This window comes from Homo sapiens, chromosome 7 (genome assembly GCF_000001405.40).
Source record: "Homo sapiens chromosome 7, GRCh38.p14 Primary Assembly".
NCBI lineage: Eukaryota > Metazoa > Chordata > Mammalia > Primates > Hominidae > Homo > Homo sapiens.
This window is the reverse complement of record NC_000007.14, coordinates 82,301,801-82,322,976: the sequence shown is the minus strand read 5'-3', so window position 1 is coordinate 82,322,976 and position 21,176 is coordinate 82,301,801. Positions and strand designations below refer to the sequence as shown.

Below are 21,176 nucleotides of genomic sequence, written 5' to 3'. Positions count from 1 at the left end.
TAGTTTTCCCTTTTCCTTGTTAACCCCTTATTATCTCCCCACAGAATGAAATAAACTCTAAACCTTCCTCTGTAAATTCATTTGCTAACTTTTACTGAATGACATGAAGGTAGAAGCCCGTTGTGAGATGCCCAAACCCATCCTGGCTTTTTTATATACACAGGTGTTCTTTGCATCTGTTCTTCATAATTGTTTAAAGCTTCTAAAGTCAAAAACTGCATTCGCAAGATAAGATTTCTATGATTCTTTAAAAAATCTCCTGATACGATTTATCATTAGAATGATGAAATGCTCTGTCACTTTAATTAAAGTATCATGGATCATAAATCTTTTTAAATTTTATTTTTATTATTTTTTTGAGACAGGGTATCATTCTGTCACCTAGGCTGGAGTGCAGTAGCGCTATTATGGCTCACTGCAACCTTGACCTCTTGGGCTCAGGCAGTCTTCCTGCCTTGGCCTCTTGAGTAGCGAGACATATGCTACCATGTCTGGCTAATTTTAATTTTTTTTTTTTTTTTTTTTGTAAAGCCAGGATCTTCCAGTTTTGCCTAGGCTGGTCTCAAACTCTTGACTTCAGGGGATCCTCCCACTTCAGTCTGCCAAAGTACTGGCCTTATAGGTGTGAGCCACCATGCCCGGCCCAAAATCATAAATCTTGATGGAATTTGGGAATTTTGGAATTTCAGTTTTCTGGTCTTTTCATCTCTTGCAGTTGAATGTCTAAGCCACCAAGGCAAGGGAGTTGGCAGTTCTTTTCTCAAATATTTTTAGTGATTAAGCTTCCACAATTGTAAAACCCCATTATTGTTGCTTAGCTTGTTTTTTTTTTTTTTTTTTTTTTTTTTTTTGAGACGGAGTCTCGCTCTGTCACCCAGGCTGGAGTGCAGTGGCGGGATCTCGGCTCACTGCAAGCTCCGCCTCCCGGGTTCACGCCATTCTCCTGCCTCAGCCTCCCAAGTAGCTGGGACTACAGGCGCCCGCCACTACGCCCGGCTAATTTTTTGTATTTTTAGTAGAGACGGGGTTTCACCGTTTTAGCCGGGATGGTCTCGATCTCCTGACCTCGTGATCCGCCCGCCTCGGCCTCCCAAAGTGCTGGGATTACAGGCGTGAGCCACCGCGCCCGGCCACTTAGCTTGTTTTTTAAGAAATGATTCCTAACATCTGTGTCCTTGTCTAATTGAAACATGTTTTCTTTTCTCTCTCCTGTGTACACTAAAATTTGATTGGCATTCTTTTTAGAAGAATATCTCATTTTGTATGTATGTGCATGGGGGGCGTTGGGGATGGTAGGAGCTATCATCAATTCCTCACAACTTAGTGTTTTTGGCGCATAATGATGGCTTTCAGTTGCTGAGCCATCTTTATTGCCAGACATTGTGGGAAGTGCTTTATACACAGTATCAAATTTCATCTTCAGAATAACCTTATGAGGAAGATATGTTATTGTGTTTGAAGATAAGATACAGTCTTCTTACAGTCTGTAATCTGTTACATTTTGAGGCGAAAGCCATCTCACTTTTTTTTGAGGAGGGGGTAAGACTCTATTTTATTTTATTATTTTATTTCTTTTTCGAGACAGAATCTTGCTCTGTCACCCAGGCTGGAGTGAAATGGTGCCATCTCGGCCCACTGCAACCTCCACCTCCCAGGTTCAAGCTATTCTTCTGCCTTAGCCTCCCGAGTACCTGGGGTTACAAGCGCGCACCACCATGCCGGGCTAATTTTTGTATTTTTAGTAGAGACGGGGTTTCACCATGTTGGCCAGGCTGGTCTTGAACTCCTGACCTCGAATGTTCTGCCTGCCTCGGCCTCCCAAAGTGCTGGGGTTATAGGCGTGAGCCATTGCGCCCAGCACCCATCTCACTCTCAAGTGTCAGGTAGAGGAAGTTTTATACCCAGGTATGTCTGACTTATGTCTGTGCTTTTCAACAATGTGCTTTTAGCTAGAGCTAAAAGGTTCATTAAGTCATAGATGACTTTAACTTATATAAAATCTTTATATAAGTTTTTGGCTTTATATATATATAAATGGCTTTATATAAGCCATTAACTTATATAAAATCTGTTTACTAATTTTATAGTATTCAATTTTGTGAATGTATTATTTATTTAGCTATCTCCTACTGATAGTTTATTTTTTATGTGGGTGATATGAATACTGTTTATAGCACATCTTTACACATATATGAGAAAACTTTTGATTGCTTTATTATACTTAAGTCATGTAAGTGAAATTGTAGTGTCTAACAGCATATGGGAGTCAGGTGGTGGCTCACTCCTGTAATCTCAACATTTTGGGAGGCTGAGGCAGGAGGATTGCTTGAGGCCAGGAATTTAAGACCAGCTTGTGCAATATAGCAAGACCCTGTCTCAAAAAAAAAAAAAAAAAAAATTAGCCAAGTGTGGTGGCATGTACCTGTAGTCTCAGCTCCTCAGGAGACTAGGATGGGAAGATCACTCGAGCCCAGAAGTTCAAGGCTGTGGTGAGCTATGATGGTGCCACTGCACTCCAGCCTGGGTGACAAAGTGAGACCCTGTCTCCCTCAAAACCACAGATGGTGCATTATTTATTGTTTGTTTTCCTTTTAACAAAATAGAAATCTTTAATTCTTCCATTAATTCCTTCTCTCTTTTTTGTTTATTTTTAAATAACAGAATTTCTAATAGACTTAAATGACAGCGACCAAGTTACATTTGACTCAGTATAATAAGTTAAATATGGTTCTGTAAGTAGGACTTAATTTTAAATGATAGATATATTTTTAATTATTATAATAATGTCAAAAACTCATACTTTTCTCTGCAGATTAGTGCCTTTGTTGTTGGCAACATAATCAGTTCAGAATTAACAGGCTGGTTGGGGCAAACATCTGTCTTCCAGATTTATTTAAAAAAAAAAAATCAGCCTCAGAGTTGCAGTTACTGATTCCAGATACCAGCTCATATGCTCTATCTTGCATGTATTATCCAGCCACAGGCAGCATGCCAACAGGCCGCAGTGTGGATGAGTGCTCCTGCTGTTGGCAGTCCTTGTATTCTACGGGAGCTGACGCTGTCAAGGCCCAGTTAAGAGCAAAAACCAAGTTGTGTCTTGACAGCTGAGACATTAGTTACAAAAGACTGTCTACTCCTTCTCTGGTTAATTTATTCATTTAGTCTCAGGACTCATTACTCCCCAATTACAGCTACTCCTATAAATGTTGGTCTATTGTGAACCAGTCACCCCTGATTGTTTACACTGTCTTTTCTGAGAAATTCTAGGTCCGTCAACTTAAAGGTCTAATAATAAATAATAATGACTCATTTTCTACAAGAGGGTTTAGAGAGAATTTATTGCCCTATATCTTACTGCCTGTGCCACTTTTTTTCTAGCACAACAACATAATGTGGTTCTTAAACAAAAAAATAACTAAATAAATTATCAAGTGTTATATTTATGTGCTCAGAACATTTCTTTAAAATGTGGATTTTCAAATAGCCATTTTTGCTTGTCATTGATAGTAACAAGTTTGACTCTTGCAGAAATGTTCATTTTCATTAAGTGACTGCACATATCAATTTCTACCTCTCAAATGGGTATTTTTTAGTTTAGATAAAAAGATGAATATAATGTATAATTTTTGATGTCTTTGTTAACAACTGTATTTTGATTCAAAAATTGTATCCATTGAAATGAAATTAATCCTCATGATTTCTCAGTAGAGAGTAATTATGTTTTTAGTTTAAATATTAAAATGTTCTAAAAATATCAAGTATCTTATATGAGACCTTAAAATAGAAGGTCTTAATAACAATTTTTTATGTGCTTCTGATATACTAGACACTGTACTAAGGACTTTTTTGTATTTACTCATTTAATCCTTTCAACATACTTCTATACTTGGTATTGATAGTCTCAATTTTATAGAGATATTTTGCCCATGTATTTGTATCCAGATCCATTTAATTCCCAAGCTTTCTGGCAGCATATCTCCTCACTCTGCCTTGCACTTATCATGTGTCAGGCACTCTGCCTAGTGTTTTACACAGATTTTTCCATTTAATTCTCTTTTCTCTGACTTCTCCTCTTCCTACTCTTTCTCTTCTTCTTCTCCCTCTTCCTCTGTCCCTTCTTCTTCCTCTTTCTATTGCCTTTCCTATTTGTCTTCTCATTATTATTACATGATATGATAAGGCCAAGAAGTATAGAATGAAAAAGTTTTAAGTATATTATCTGAGGTCATGTAGTTCTAGGTTGGCATTTTTGTTTCTAAATGAGATTATGTATTACTGTTTTATTTTACATCAGATGTGGTATAGAAAAGTGATAATGGTAGCTTATTTTAATTGTTACAATTTATGTAAAAGGAGAGAAGGATTGAAAGAGAAGAAGGCATGGAGAGAACAAAGGAGAAGGGGTCTAGCCTTTTTATTCTCTAGACTTACTTGCATTAAGTATTTACATAAAATGTGTGGTGAATTTGGTAATGGAGATGGAGATTGTAACATCCATGAGTTTTTGTTAATCTCACTGTAATTACTTAGTTTTTTATGTGTGAAAAACAAGAATTTTAGAGTATCTGCAAGCCACATAGTGTGCTGGGGCTTTTATACTCATAAGTGAGTATATTTTAGGAGTGTTTTGGGGAAACTCTGGTCTAGATATTACAGCATATGTAGTTGCATAAAGATCAAAATTAATTAGAATAGTTTTTATTTCTGAACTTGAGCTTAGATACCATGCAGACATTCACTTTTTTAATTAGCAATGAGACTAGCAAGCTTTCAAAAAAATCATTCTGGTCTGTTGGTATTTCAAGAAGTGATTTTTGCTAGCTTCTAAAGCATAGGTTGTAGGCAATTGAAAAGTGAAGTATATCATTTGAAGTTCTAAGCATAAGGCATGCTTATTTAACCAACTTTTAATTACAACTAGTGAGAAATGGAGGGTAAGTATATAGTTAAAATACAAGACCTCTTACACAATTAAAGGAGAAAGGAGAGAGGCATCATATGAGAGGGCAAAGTAAACCATGGAGGTCAGCTGAGTTGATCTAGTATAGTACAAAGAGCTTGGGAAAACTCTCTTCGGATTTTCATTCTTCACTAAATTTACAGATGTTTAATGTATTCACCGTCATTCTTTTTCCCCAAATAACTGTTTATTGGAGCTTTATAATTTTGCAAATGAAGCTATCTTTTGGAGATTGCTCTTTCTTTAATTTAAATGACGCCAAATGTCTGCTAGTCATCTGGCAAGGAAAATCAGGGCTGCTTGGTGTTGCTATGCTGCCATGATCAAATTTCTCTTCTAAATAGTAGTCTCCAGTCCTTAGTTGACATTTCACACCAATTGCCCTGTCACTGTTGGAGGCTAAATCAGCATATTAAGAAGCAGCAAGTGGTACCTAATGCCTGTCCTGAGGAAAGTTACTAGGTTTTAGTCACCGCAAAGATTCTCAGCTGCTCCTCCTTAAGTATTTTAGACATGCTCACTGATTTGAAACAACATTTTTCAGCTGCATAGAAGGCATACTGAATAAATACTGGAAGGAGGACAGTTTAAAGACTTAAAAGCAGTCTCTGTCAAGGCAGGCCATACTTTTCCTCTCAGCCGTACACACACACGGGAATTATCCCTATGATCTGCCTGTGTTTTAAATTGCCACATAAGTAGGCATCCATTACAGAGGAAGCTGGCAGTGTACATTTTTGTTGTGTTTGTGTGACAGTAGTAATTTCCTACTTCTCAATTTAGTGACAGCATTTTAAAAAGAAAATAATGTATGCATTTTAAGAAGCAGTGAGCCCCAAAAGACTTCTAGGTACTCTTGGTAGCTTATATATAAATGCAGAATCACATGTATGGTATAGTTAATGTTTACTCATTCGGTAATATTCAACTAACATTAACCAGTGAAAGACTGGGGTCTGCCTAACATGGCTTTGATGACATTTGTACAGCCTTTTCTGATTTACTTTCTAGTGTTAAGAGTGTATTACTGAATCAGATTGATATGGTTTGGCTGTGTCCCCGCCCAAATCTCACCCTGAATTGTTATAATCTCCATGTGTCAAGGGTGAGGCCAGGTGGAAATAATTGAATCATGGGGGCAGTTTCCCCAAAACTGTTCTTGTGGTAGTGACAGTCTCACAAGATCTGATGGTTTTATAAATGGGAGTTCTCCTGCACAATCTCTCTTGCCTGCCACCATGTAAGGCATGCCTTTGCTTCTCCTGTGCCTTCCACCATGATTGTGAGGCATCCCCAGTCAGGTGGAACTGTGAGTCCATTAAACCTCTTTTCTTTATAAATTACCCAGTCTTGGATATGTCTTTATTAGGAGCATGAGAACAGACTAATATACAGATATTTTGATTTATATGTTAGCTACTGATTGAATAGCTTTAGTTTTCTTTTCTTTCAGATAGAACATCATTCTATTATATTTGGTTCTCATCAGAGAGGGAAAAATCTTATAAGCATGTCTTATTTTAAGGAACCGGATTGTTCTCTTTGTGAGAATTTGGGAGTGGTGAGAGAAAGGAGAATTAGAGTTAGAACTGGCAAGGGTAAAAATATTTGATTTTTAAAAAAAATTCAGTCAGAGAAGAAATAATTTTATTAATGTTTATAAAGGCAGTAAGTAATGAAAGGAAATAATCGAGTTATCAAGGACATACACCCAAGTACAAACAAGCAATGCTATTCAGTGAGAGACTTCAGGAACACTTCTGTCCTGTCAGTTATTAGAACAGTGTTGAATACTGTTAAAACAGTTATTTTAAATTCTTATGTAGTTACTATATAAAATAATTAAAACTACCTTATTTATTATCTGTGTCTTTTAGGAATTCTTAGTGATTGTATTTAAAATTTATAATTATAGGTTTTAAAACATAAGCAAACTTATCATTTGTCAAGTAAAATACATATTAGATTTTTTATTTTTGAAGGTTTTTTTGTTGAATTTTTTGGTGCCTAGAATTCCCATACTTTAAAGCAAATAATATTTAAAAAAAAAACACCTGGTGACATTGATCTAAGGAATTAATTTTAATTTCTAGCCAAACCCAGTATTTGCAAAATGTAAGCAGTGATTAACTAAAACTTCTTAAGAAAAAAGTATCAAGTTAAATTTTGATTAATTCTACTGTTAGCGGGCATTAGTTGATTTACACTGTGTGTAGAATTGGTTGTGTGGTGAAATACAATACTGTTTGTCTTATCTATTATTCAGGATTTATTTTTCTAGAATTCTGATTTCCTCCCCTTCTTCATGTTATCAGTAGAGGATGACATTTTTAATTTGCATGTAGCAGGTTAATTTTTAAAAACCACCTTGTCTTTTAGTGTTATCTTACCTGATTTTTTTTCTGGCATACCTTTCTTTTTATTTGCAACATTTTCAACTTTCTTTTAGTGCTGTTCTTTTCAAGCAATATGTAGCTTTTAATTTTTGATGCAATATGAAAATTTCTGTCTCTTAATGAGAAAATTCAATCCATTGATGTTTACTTTGATGACTGAAAAACTTGTTTTTATTTATTCCAACTTACCATTTATTGTTTTAGAAAATTGCTGCTGTTGCTTTTTTTTCTTATTGTATTTCTTTCCATCTTTGTACATGATCATTTGAAAGTTGTGCTTTTTGAATTCATCATGGTTTCTATTCTTTCCTTAGTCTTTCAATAACCCTACTGTTTAAATATGGTACCAGCTATTTTGCAAATTAAGATGCACTGTATCTCTACACTGATGCTCCTTTCTCCCTACTTCTCTTGCCCTCCTAAATCCAATTGATACAACTTTAAGAGACACGACACGTTATTTCCTTTTTTTTGTTGTTGTTGCTGTTGTTGTTGAGACTCTGTCACCCAGGCTGGAGTGCAGTGGCACAATCTCGGCTCACTGCAACTTCTGCTTCCCAGGTTTCAAGCAATTCTCCTGCCTCAGCCTCCCGAGTAGCTGGGAGACAGAGTGAGACTCTGTCTCAAAAAAAAAAAAAAAAAAAAGATAATATGCTTAACTTTTAGAGCAGGAGAGATGAAGTTTTTGGTCCCTGTTTCTTTAACACTGGAATATGATATGATATGGGGTGGTAAAACACAGGTTGCTGAAGCCACTGTTAACAGCAGTCATATCTGCTTTGAATTATCACATTTTCATTGGCATAATGACGGATAAGTTTATCTCAGGCATTTTTGTATCATATTAAAATATCATTATTACTGCTGCTACAGTGACAGGGTCTTTTTTTAGTCCGGAGAGAAGGGCTGCTGTTGAAAATCACAATTAAAATTGGTAAATATTTTTTATCCAAATATGAACAATGTAAATTAAATAAGATTTTATTTTATTATTTTTTAAATAGAAAAGGTGGCATGCAAACGTTTGAGTGAAATAATTCTCTCAGGAGCTGTAAGATTACTAATAGTTAGCACACCTCACTAATGTTATACTTTCTTGCAATTCTTCCCACATATTGTTGATATTTAAAACATTTGTTTGCTGTGCTGACTATAGGAACAAATAAGAATACTGTTTTTGCCAGAAGTTTCATTATCCTGGTGTTTGGAAGAATGGAATGAAAACAATATTCTCTGGCTCTCTCACATTCGATAATGACCAACACATACAGCTGACTGGAAGAATAAATGCTCTCAGCATTGTGAATACAAGTTGAGTTCCTTTAGTGTCTATAAAAACTTAATGAAGACAAATATAACTTCATTTTTTCCTTCAATTTTCAACTGAGCTAAGATGGCCAGTATAGCAAATACAGAAAAAAATTAAATCAAGCAAACCAAAGTATTTACTTATCTACCCTAGCAACCTTTGATCCTTTGGGATTCAGATATAAAAGAAACCCAAACATTATTGCGATTGAAAAAGTAAATGGCTTAAGCATTATTTATTCATGTGATTCTTTTAGAAAGGTATATATTCTCCCAGAGAAGCACTGGATATATGTAAAAATGTACAAAAAGAATGTTTACTACAGTAGTTTGCATTAAAAAAAGATTGATCTAAATCATTGACATGATATGCAATATGATTTTATTTTTTAGTGCTGATTTTGGAGTAATATATTTTAAATTACAAAATATACATGTTCAATGTAGGAAATATGAGAATGAGAAATACTCGAAATCCTATTACCCATAAATAACCATGATTTGTATTTTTGGTGTATATTGAAAGAACCAAGGGAAAGTTTCCACTTTGCCCTCTAAAGGTATGCTGAAAACCGACAAAAGGTACATTGAAAGGAGAAAAGGCATACACATTTTATTAACATGCACACATGTGCAGAGAAGTCATACAGAATATGAAAACTCAAAGGGCCAGTTGGTTGGTGCTTTTATACCATGTTGAGGTTATGGAAGGAGTAGGAGCTTGGAGCATGGCAAGACTGGCTCTAGGAGAGAATGGAAGGCATGGGACAAAGGTGGTCTCATTAGGCAGATGAAACTTCACTGATAATATCTCTGAGACAGAATGGATAGCATAACTTGTGGATGAGTTAATTTCTGAGATCTGCAGATAAGTAGGGCCTCTGAGAAAGCCTGGTTGTTTACTTCACCAATATAGATTTTTCTCAACAGATGCAAATCTTAATGAAAGGCAGCTTTTTAGGGCTATTGTTGTCTGCAGGCCCTCTGAATAGCCGTCTCAAAATAGGTCAAAGAAATATATTTGAGGGTGAAATCTTTTTGGTTTCCTTTAGTCTCCCACTTGAAACTTTATCTTCACAAAGATTCACATATTAATCAAAGATTGGTAGCTATGGGGAAATTTGGGTTGGAGATTGTGAGATAGATTGACAAAGAAGAAGAAAAAATAGGTAGATTGGAAAACCTAGCTCATATCCTCTTGAATCAGTCTGTTAGTCCTGAGGATAGATCAGTTCAATTAAACAGTTATTTCTTATTCTAGGACGTTGCATTGCAGATGGACTCTCAAACCAGGACTGTACATACGATGCACTTAAATGGATCGTTAATAACAGGCATTTCTATGGAAACAAGAAAAACAAAGGCTAATGTCTGGACTCATCTGTAAATTAGTACTTTTAGAATTTGAAGCATCTTCGGTTTAAATGGGCACAGTGGGAATCCACAGTCTTGGATTGTATTTCAAATCAAGAGTTTCAAGGCCAGGCACAGTGGCTCATGCCTGTAATCCTAGTACTTTGGGAGGCCGAAGCTGGTGGATCACTTGAGTTAAGGAGTTCGAGACCAGCCTGGCCAACATGGCAAAACACTATCTGTACTAAAAATGCAAAAAATACAAAAAAAAAAAAATTAGCTGGGCATGGTAGTGCACACCTGTAATCTTAGCTACTCGAGAGGCTGAGGTAGGAGGATTGCTTGAACCCGGGAGGCAGAGGTTGCAGTTAGCTGAGATCGTGCCACTGCACATTCCAGCCTAGGTGACAGAGTAAGACTCTTGTCTCAAAAAAAAAAAAAAAAAAAAAAGTTTCAGTTAACTTTCTGAGTCTACTTCAATAGTCATGAAGACTGTTTATATATAAGTGGCTATAGTGGTTTCTCCCAAAGTTTATGACAGATTGTCCAGCTCCAGTTTGTAGGGCTTTAACAAAAGCACAATTTTAATTTCTAGTGATTTTTAAGTCAGAATGGTGGATGAAAAATTGGAAACAGTAGATTGGAGAATCACAGGGGACTAAAAATTTAAGATTCAGTCCAGATTGCAGGTAATAATAAAATCTCAAAATCAAACAAGAAAAATTTCAGTGAGCTGGAAACTAGTAACGGGTATGCTATAGTAAGACCAATTTATTTATAAAATACGTTTTAGTCTTATTAACCTTGGCCTGATTATTTGTTTAAAGTGCAACAAGGATAATGATTAGTCATATAGGCCATAAGTTGACTTTGCTGTAACTTTTTCATATGAAATTTCATATTAGACTTTTGAAAATCACTTAAGGTTTAGAGCCAAGCCAAAGACTGTGTCTATAATACCAGTCTGAATTGAGTAAATTTCTTTCTTCTCAAGGTCCTTAAAATATGTTGAGGTTCTTGGGGGCCTGTCAGAAAGTGACATAATTTACTTATCACAACAAGGTCGGGAATTTTTTAAGGGAACTGTGTAGGCAAGGTACCTGGGCCAGTCTTTTTCCAAGTCTGTTGGTGTTATAAAGTCAGTCCCAGTGCTTCAAAGCAGACTGGTCACATTTTAAAATATGTCTTTCTAGTCAAAGCCTGGGTAAAATAACCAGTGTCTTCAATTGTGTCCTGTTACAAAATAAAACAGATTGTTATTGAACTTACACAAATAACTATATTGCTATAAAATAAGAATATTTATAAATAACTTCCAAATTCTGGAGAGAGCAGTAGAAAGGTAAATGTTTAAATTGTGCTCACAAAAGTTTATTCTACCCAATTGTTACAAGCTGTAAGTAACTTGAAAGAAAAAAGATTTTTTTTTGATTGTGGAAAAGAACTGTAAAAAGTAAACAGCATCAACAATGTTTCAGTCAAAAACAGTGATAAAAAATTAGTTTTGTCCTCCATCAGTTCAGCTAAATGTAATTCTTGTTCTGCTTGATACTAGGTTAGCAATTTTATGAGTCTAGTTTTTTTTTTCTTTTTTTGTATTGGAGTTTTAGAAATTCTTACCTAGTGCATTTGTATGATCTAAAAAGTTGTCAGAAATGTGTATTTAAGAATACTTGTAGTCTTTTCCATGAACCTCCTTGAAGACATACCATTTTAGGATTTGCAAAAAGCTTTTATGGACAAAAAGCATCAGAATAAGCAATTTATTATGACAACAAGACTTAAAATGACCATGGTTAAAGATGGAACTAACAAGGACTTTTGTTATTTTCTGTGGCATACAGAAATTTAACACATCAGATATTTAGGAATTTCATCAAATTTTGGACACATATTAATTTATACACATATAACTCAAAGAAGATTAAACATCATTTCTTATTTGACAGTGTGGTCTATACAATTTAATAAATCAAATAAGCCGGATTGTCTCTCTTTTGGATGCCTTAGGGGTCCTCTGTAACATCCCAAAGCTAATTTGTGGTCAGAACACTTAATTTACAACTTAAAATTTTATTCTGTGAAGCCTATTAAACATGTCAGAGGTTTAAAACACTTTATCAAAAATAGGATCACAGGTCATTGTGAAATAATAGTCATTGATTTAGCCAAAGTGATAATTAAAAGATTTCAAAAACAAAAACCTTTACTGTTTGATAGAGAGGGGACTCAAACTTTCCAAATATTTAAAAGACCTAGTAAAGACAGCAGGAGTCACACAGAATCTGTTTCTCTCTCCCTTCCCCTTTTTTTGAAGTTTTCCTAAAAGGTAAACCCAAGTCTTTTATTATTTCTTATTAATAGTATATGAAAATCTTATTCAAAAGAAAAAAACAAATTATAGCTTTGCATTAATATGTGTTTTTGATATGAAGGCTCAATTTAACAACCATATTAATAAATTTATTTAACTTTATCCATTTAACCGCATAAAATTTGAAATTCTCCTTTTCCCTCAACTTTCTATGCCCATTTAGTTTTGTCTGCATCATTTTTCCCTTAATTTTAAAGCAACCTTTAAATTACCTCTAAACTAGACAAAATTATTTTCTCAACAAATACACATACATCCTCATACCTTTTATAACTTTTCTTACCAAAAAATATATCTGCTTTTCTTGTACACATTGCATATAGAATTATTTAATAGATTTAATTATATTAATTTAAATATTAACTCTTAGTAACCTTAATTTCTAGTGAAAACCTAGGAAGTAATTTTGAACTGTTTCATATCAGTGTTTGTAGATGAAAACCATTTCATAATTTGTAAGAAAGATATGTTTTCCTAGTTTTTAATTGACAGATCTAAATATATTTAGCTTTTCTATACCATATAAAAATAAGATGTTAAAGCATATAAATTTAGAGTTATATTTAATAATTAATGTTATAGTATTTTTAACTTAGAAATGATACAGACATTTTTATGACTATTACTTAATTTCACATAACAAGCCTTAAAGACTTTACTGAAAAGTATTTTGCAACTATGACACAGGTACCCTTGCGAATGTCTTCCCCAGTTGCCCTGGGTTCTGAGTACTCACATGGCATTCAGGACAGGTATGAAGAACAGGGACTATCTGGGTCCTGGATCCATATACCAGGTTTACAACCCAGGACAGAGGACAGAGGTGTGAACATGGCAGTTGGTGGGCCACGTGCCATGGACACACATGTGTTTCCAGGTCTTACTATGGCCACTTCTCCAGACTCCAGCATCCAGAGGCTCAAAACCAAAGATAGAAGCTCACATAAAGATATTTACAGGGATTTGGAAGAATCCAGCAGCCAGCGTTTACAGCTTTAGATTACAGAGAAATTAAACAAGCATAAAAAATATTACAGAGGCAGCAGTTTCATGGCCTTAAAAATTGTAGCTCAGACACCTTAAATTACCTGGCTAACCAGTAGACCCAGGCAAAAATGTCTGAATTATATTTAGTATAGTTCTGAAGACTTTCCATTTTATCAACAATTTTTTTTTTTTGAGACATAGTTTCACTCTTGTCACCTAGGCTGGAGTGCAATGGCATGATCTTGGCTCACTGCAACCCCCACCTCCCAGGTTCAAGAAATTCTCCTGCCTCAACCTCCTGAGTTGCTGGGATTACAGGCATCCACCACCATGCTCAGCTAATTTTTATATTTTTAGTAGAGACAGGGTTTCGTCATGTTGGCCAGGTGGATCTTGAACTCCTGACCTCAGGTGATCCACCCGCCTCGGTCTCCCAAAGTGCTGGTATTACAGGCATGAGCCACTGCACCTGGCCTTTACCAACAATTTTAAAACTAGCTTTGTTTACCAAAGATTATGTTGGTTCACTTAGAAATATCACATATACATAACAGATATAGACATATAACATAAAGAGACACAGAATCAAATCTTGCAGCTTTCATTGAAATTCTCATTTGCCAACTTCCAAATAGCCCTTCTCCACCCGATTTAGACCATCAATCTTCAGATCACCTGTTTCATTGCCCTATGCAACTGTTAGCTAGGCAACCTTAAACTTGCACTTCTAAAGGGATGGCCCTAGGTGAATTAAGAGAGAAAATTTCTGTCTCAAAGACAGAGAACTTGTATGTAAACTTCATTATTTGCCAAGACAAAGAAGGGCATAGGTAAAGGCCCATTTAAGACACATAGCCAGGAAAAATACCTTAAACAAAAGTTTGTTATGGAAATTTTTAAGGGAATGCCTTTCCCATGGTATGGGTTTCCAGTGGTTTTGGTGTAGAGAGGGAGATTCCCTTACAAATGGAGAGTTTTCTTATAGGTGTAAATCTTTTTTACAAGAAGTTTGAAAATGGGCAGCAAAATATTGGAGAGTTGTATTTGGAAGATCCATTTAGTTGAACAGGTGGCTTTTTAAGTTTCTGTTTCTTAAATTAACTAGATTACCGAATTCAGGGTGGAGCCCATGAATGAATTAGGGCTGAACCTACTTGTGACTGTTGGGGCTCTATGAGGAAGATAGGTTACCCAAAAAGGAGACAATGGCACCTTCGCTGTGTTTTGAAGGCATATCAGCGTTCCTAGAAGTCCCTTTTTGATCCCTTTATGTGACAACCGTAACTCTCATGTTTCTTTTCAGTACATTTTTATCCATTGATTGACCCAATGGAAGAAATATGGGTTTGAAGGGGGAACAATCAATGATTAAAGGGAACTGGGTAGAAGACTGAAGGTGGCAAAGGAGGGGAAGAATCAAATGGAGCATTGAGTCCAAGAGGAGCCAGTGTGGATACATCTCAAGCTTCGCAAAAGGCCAATGAAGTTTTAGTTTTTTCTTTAAGCAAAAATCTTGCCAATAAGAAAGGAAGTCAACAGAGGGACTGAACATACAATTAGGATGGCGTTTTAGTTCACTGAAAAAGATTCCTGTGGGAGAAACAGGATCCAAAAGAGAACAGAGAAGTTTAAAAAATATGTAGTTTGAATGTCAGCTTTTAATTAAGCTGATGACCATAGAGCTCTTGTAAAATCTTTTCAAATCTTTCACCATCAGGTTTTTGCTGGGACAAACTGCCAGTATTCCAGCTTTTGAATATTTTTTATCCCTCTTTGCATTTAAACAGAAGGTATCTACCAAGTGACTCAGAATCAAAACCAGTAAGTCTTTAATGACTAAGCAAGGATGCAAGAGGTATCTCAAAAGAGATGCAAAGAAGCAGTCCTAACAAGATCAAGAGCCACCCCCAAAGATGGCTAGAAGAAGAAAGGGACATAGATATGAACAGGAGAGCAATAGCCCTCCTTGGAGGGGAAAATGATCTATAACAAATGGGTACCCCAAAATGTCAAAAGTTACAAAACTTCAAACTAATTCTTATATAATTCTTTATAAGAATTATAAATTTATAAATTATATAATTATTTTAAGAATTATAAATTTATAAATTATATAGTTATTTATAAGAATTACATAATTCTTGTCAGGCATGGTGGCTCGCTCCTGTAATCCCACCACTTTGGGAGGCAGAGGCGGGAGGATCACTTGAGGTCAGGAGTTCAGAACCAGCCCGGCCAACATGGTGAAACTCTGTCTCTACTAAAAATACAAAAAAATTAGCCAGGTGTGGTGGCGCATACCTGTAAATTCCAGCTACTTGGGAGGCCAAGGCAGAAGTCCTTGAACTCAGGAGGCAGTGGTTGTAGTGAGTGAGATGGTGCCATTACACTCCAGCCTGGGCAACAGAACAAGACTCTATTCCCACACCTAAAAAAAGAATTATATAATTCTTATAAATGTTTATTTTTTCTCCTAAGTTAAGGAATTTACATCCACATCTCTCTGAGTGTCTAATGAGATTCAAACCTTGGCTGCAGCTGTGGGAGCATAGAACCCTAGCCACTAGGCCACAGGCTGGAGTGCTTTTTTTGCAGATCCCATGGAGAAACCAAAGCAGGCTGTTGAGAACACAAAGGATTTTAATTTTAATTTAAATCAGTTGTCTGCCTTTTTGTTGTTTTTGCCAAGAGAGATTTTAAGGCTATTTTTTTTTTTTTTTTGTATTTTTTCGTAGATACCAGTAAGAGAGCTGGTGAAGAGAAACACTCACTAAAAGGTTTTCTTTTAAATGTAGCCAATTTTATTTATTCTATTAATGACTCAAGCTAATAAGCCTTTTACTTGGAAAGTCCCAGAGATAACTTTCCAGGTTTAGCACACCATGGATATAAGTGGCATTTTAAAAACGAAGATGCAGGCCTCATGATCCTCCAGAAAATTCACTCCCAGAAATAGATTAGGATAGCAGAAGTCTCTTTTTGCCACAGGTTAAGGATGGTATTTCTGCATACGATGTCTCCAGTCTCTCAGAAATTTGTGGGAAGCTGCCAGTCACTAACCCATTAATCTGTGACAATGGATAGTCCATGTGCAATTGGACTTTCCCAGATCTAACCATGTAGTAAAAGTTGAGACAGCAAAATCTCCTTCTTCTTCTTTAGAGGATGGAACTTCTTCTTAAGACACAATTTCTTCTTGAGACAGCAAAATCCCCTTCTTCTTAAAGGGATGGAACTTCTTCTTAAGACATATTCACCTGAGAGGTTGGCAAATTCAGAACAAAGAGTGTGCTGCTTAAAATCTTACTTGTCTTAGGGTTCTCACTTCTTTCACGCTGGCTACCAGACATGACCCCAAAATCATGCCATCTGGATGGCTGAGACCAAAAAATAGTGATTCCATTTGATGACAAGGTAGACTCTCAGGGACATAAAACAAGACCAAAGGGACTTTATGACAACACAAAAAACAAAGACAAAGGAAAACACATGACTATTTCTGGGAGGAAAAGGATCAGACAATATGAATATTCCAAAATATATACCAGAGTCGCTGAACCTAAGACTAGTCTGTATAAATGCTTTTCTCTCATTAATCTTAAATTTGGAAAAGGAAAAACAGTAACTGTCACTATCTGCTCAATTGGATTCCACAGATAGACACCTGGGTATCTGACTAGTAAGAAATTTTTACCTTTCTGTCAGCCTGACAGATTCTGAGTTCCCTCGACTGCAGCTTCAAAAGAGCTTCAAAAGAGCTTTTGGTTACGTTGCTCATAGCACCAAAAGTGTAGGGAAACCTTCCCTTTGCCCTCTATAGATATGATGAAAATCAACTGACGAAAAGCAAATTAATAGGAGAAAATCATATAAATTTATTATTTGTGCACACATGTGCATGAGCATCATAGAAAATATGAAAACTCAAGGAATAGGCCAGATGGTTGTTGTTTTTATACCATCTTGTGTTATAAAAAGTATAGGGACTTGGAGCATGGCAAGACAGGTTATAGGAGAGAAAGGGGCAAAGGTAGTCTTGTTATGTAGATGAAACCTCACAGGTAGCAGCTCTGAGAAATAATGGATGGTAGGCTGTGGTTGAGTTAATTTCCTAGATCTGCAGGTAAGGTGTAGGCCCCAGAACAATCTTGATTGTTTATTTCACTAATAAGATTCTTTTTAAACAGAGCAAGTCTCCTTGACAAAAGACAGCTTTCAGGATTATCGTTAATTTGTAGACCCTCTGAATAGCCATATCAAAATATGTCAAAGAAGTATATTTTGGAGCGAAATATTTTTGGTTCCCTTTATTATCATCCTATTATTTCTATATATTTACTTTAAGAATCATTGTTATGCCAAAATACTTTGTATGCCTGTGAATGTGTGCATGAGACTCTTACAAAATACAGTGTCTTAATTCAAATGAATTTCATAAGTTATTCTTCACAATTATCATTTTAGAGAGAAGTTATCTGAAATTCAGATAAATAAATTACCCAAGATTGCAACATTAATTAGTGGTAGAGTTAGGACTATTTGAGACTAATAGCAATTCTTTTTTAAAAAATTAACATTAACATTTTTTGAGTCATTACATAATATGTGTACATACTTACGGTGTACACATGATATTTTGTTACATGCATAGAATGTGTAACGATCAAGTCAGGGTATTTAGGGTGTCTGTCGCATTGATATTTTCCGTTTCTGTGTTGGGAACTGATCAAGTCCTCTCTTCTAGCTATTTCGAGATATACAATACATTGTTGTTAACTATTGTCCCCTACTGTGTTATCAATCATTAGAACTCATTCCTTCTCTTTCATTGTGTGTTTGTGCCCATTAACCAACCTGTCTTTATGCCCCTCTCTATACACCCCTCCCCTAAAATATTCCTAGCCTCTGGTTATCTATCATTATACTTTTTACCTCCATAAAATAAACTTTTTTAGCATCCACATGTGAATGAGAACATGTGATATTTGTCTTTCTGCTTCTGGCTTATTTCACTTAACGTAATGATCTCCGGTTCCATTCATATTGCTGCTAATGACAAAATTTCATTCTTTTTTTGTGGCCCAATAGTATTCCATTAAGTCTATATGCTACCACATTTTCTTTATCTATTCATCTGCTGATGGACACTTAGACTGATAACTATCTTTGCTATTGTGTTATAGTGCTGCAACATACTTGGGAGTGCAGGTATCCTTTTAATACGCTGATTTTCTTTTTTTTTTTTTTTGGATTAATATCCACTAATGGGATTATTGGATAATATGGTAGTTCAATTTTTAGTTTTTTGAGGAAGCTCCATACTGTTTTCTGTAGTGGCTGTAGTAATTTACATTACTACCAAAAGTATATAAGAGTTCTCTTTTCTCTACATTCTCACAGCATCTATTACATTTTGTCCTTTTATTAATAGTCCTTCTAGCTGGAATAAGATAATAACGCATTGTGGTTTTGATTTGCATTTCCCTGATGATTAGCGATGTTGAACTTTTTTTTAATATACCTGTTGGCCATTTGTATGTCTCCTTTTGAGAAATGTCTATTCATGTCCTCTGCCCATTTTTTAACTGTTGAATTGTTTGAGTTCCTTATATATCCTTGATATTAGTCCCTTGTCAGATTAATAGTTTGCAAATATTTTCTCCCCTTCAATAGGTTGTCTTTTTACTCTGTTGTTTTCTTTGCTGTGCAGAAGCTTTTGTTTAATATAGTCCCATTTGTCTAATTTTGTTTTTGTTGCCTGTGTTTTTAAGGTCCTGGCCTTAGAATTGTTGCCTAGACCAATGTACTGAAGTGTCTCCCCTATCTTCTCTTGTAGTAATTTTATAGTTTTGGATCTTACATTTACATCTTTAATCCCTCTTTAGTTGATTTTTGTATATGGTGAAAGATAGGGGCCCAGTTTCAACTTAGCGCTTTTGTAAAAAATCAGTTGGCTGTAAACAGGTGGATTTATTCCTGAGTTCTCTGTTCTGTTCCATTGGTCTATGTGTCTATTTTTATAGCAATGCCATACTATTTTGGTTACTATTGCCTTGTAATATATTTTGAAGTCAGGTACTGATGCCTCCAGTTTCATTCTTTTAGTTCAGGATTGCTTTGGCTACTTGAGTTTTTTTTTTTTTTTTAGTTACATACACAGTTTAGAATTTTTTTTTCTATTTCTGTGAAAAATAACATTGGAATTTTGATAGATATTGCAATGGATCTGTACTTGCTTTGAGTAATATAGTTGTCTTGATAATAATTATTTTGGTCTTAAAGACCAAATGTTGGCCGGATGTGGTGGCTCACGCCTGTAATCACAGCACTTTGTATTTTTAGTAGAGGCCAAGGTGGGCAGATCACAAGGTCAGGAGATAGAGACCATCCTGGCTAACATAGTGAAATCCCGTCTCTACTAAAAATACAAAAACAAAATTAGCTGGGCATGGTGGCGGGCGCCTGTAGTCCCAGCTACTCAGGAGGCTGAGGCGGGAGAATGGCATGAACCCAGGAGGCGGAGCTTGCAGTGAGCCGAGATCGCACCACTGCACTCCAGCCTGGGCGACAGAGGGAGACTCTGTCTCAAAAAACAAACAAACAAAAAAACAGAAAAAACAAACCAAATGTTGTGTCATTTCTCCAACATATCATCATGCCTCCTATGTTAACTCTTCTTTTGTGACATGGTTTTTAACGGTTGTATAAACTATCTTTTAGACATTCTAGGATTTACTTAACTATTCCCCTTTAGTAGACAATTATATTTAGCTTATATTTGTCTACATATATAATTATTGTTGGGATGCATGACTTGTACATAGTCATTTCTGAAATTCAGGATTATTGCTTGAATAAATTTTAAGAATTAGAAATCCTGTAGGCTGGGCACAGTGGCTCACGCCTGTATTTCCAGCGCTTAGGGAAGCTGAGGCAGGTGGTTCACATGAGGTCGGTCGGGAGTTCGAGACCAGCCTGACCAACATGGAGGAACCCTATCTCTACTAAAAATACAAAATTACCCGGGTGTGGTGGTGCATGCCTGTTTCCCAGCTACTGGGGAGGCTGAGGCAGGAGAATCCCCTGAACCCGGGAGGCAGAGGTCGCCAGCCATGAACCGAGATTGCACCATTGCACTCCAGCCTGGGCATCAAGAGCGAAACTCCGTCTCCAAAAAAAAAAAAAAAGAATTAGAAATCATGGAGATGAGGATTTGTGTATTTCAAGGCGTTTTATTACACATCATCAAATTGGGCCGTGAAAGTATGGTCTAATGTTTGGATGTACTTGTTCTCTCACACTTTGCCTACATTAGGGGTTACCATTTAGAAATTTATGTGTCAATTACATAAATGGAAATTTTATTAATACATAAAACATTTTTTATATGAAAAATCACCAAAAACCCCCAAAATCTAGAACTCTAATAAGGGGTACAGTTATATGTAGATTTTGTTATTTCAATAGAGTTTATAGGTTCATGGAACATTATTTAGGAAAGAAAATTTAAATATATTCTGTCTATAAAATATAAAAGCGTAGGCCAGGCGGTGGCTCATGCCTATAATTCCAGCACTTTGGGAGGCTGAGGTGGGTGAATTACCTGAGGTCAGGAGTTCGAGACCAGCCTGGCCAACATGGTGAAACCCCATCTCTACTAAAAAATACAAAAATTTAGCCAGGCATGGTGGCAGGCACCCGTAATTCCAGCTACTCGGGAGGCTGAGGCAGGAGAATTTCTTGAACCCAGAAGGCAGAGGTTGCAGTCAGCTGAGATTGCACAACTGCACTCCAGCCT

General features: G+C 35.9%; 1 protein-coding gene across 16 annotated transcripts in view; it reads left to right on the top strand.

Moving 5' to 3' along the window:
* The window catches only part of CACNA2D1 (calcium voltage-gated channel auxiliary subunit alpha2delta 1), a 497,513-nt gene that overhangs the window by 120,980 nt on the left and 355,357 nt on the right, over nucleotides 1-21,176 (top strand). The window lies entirely within an intron of this gene.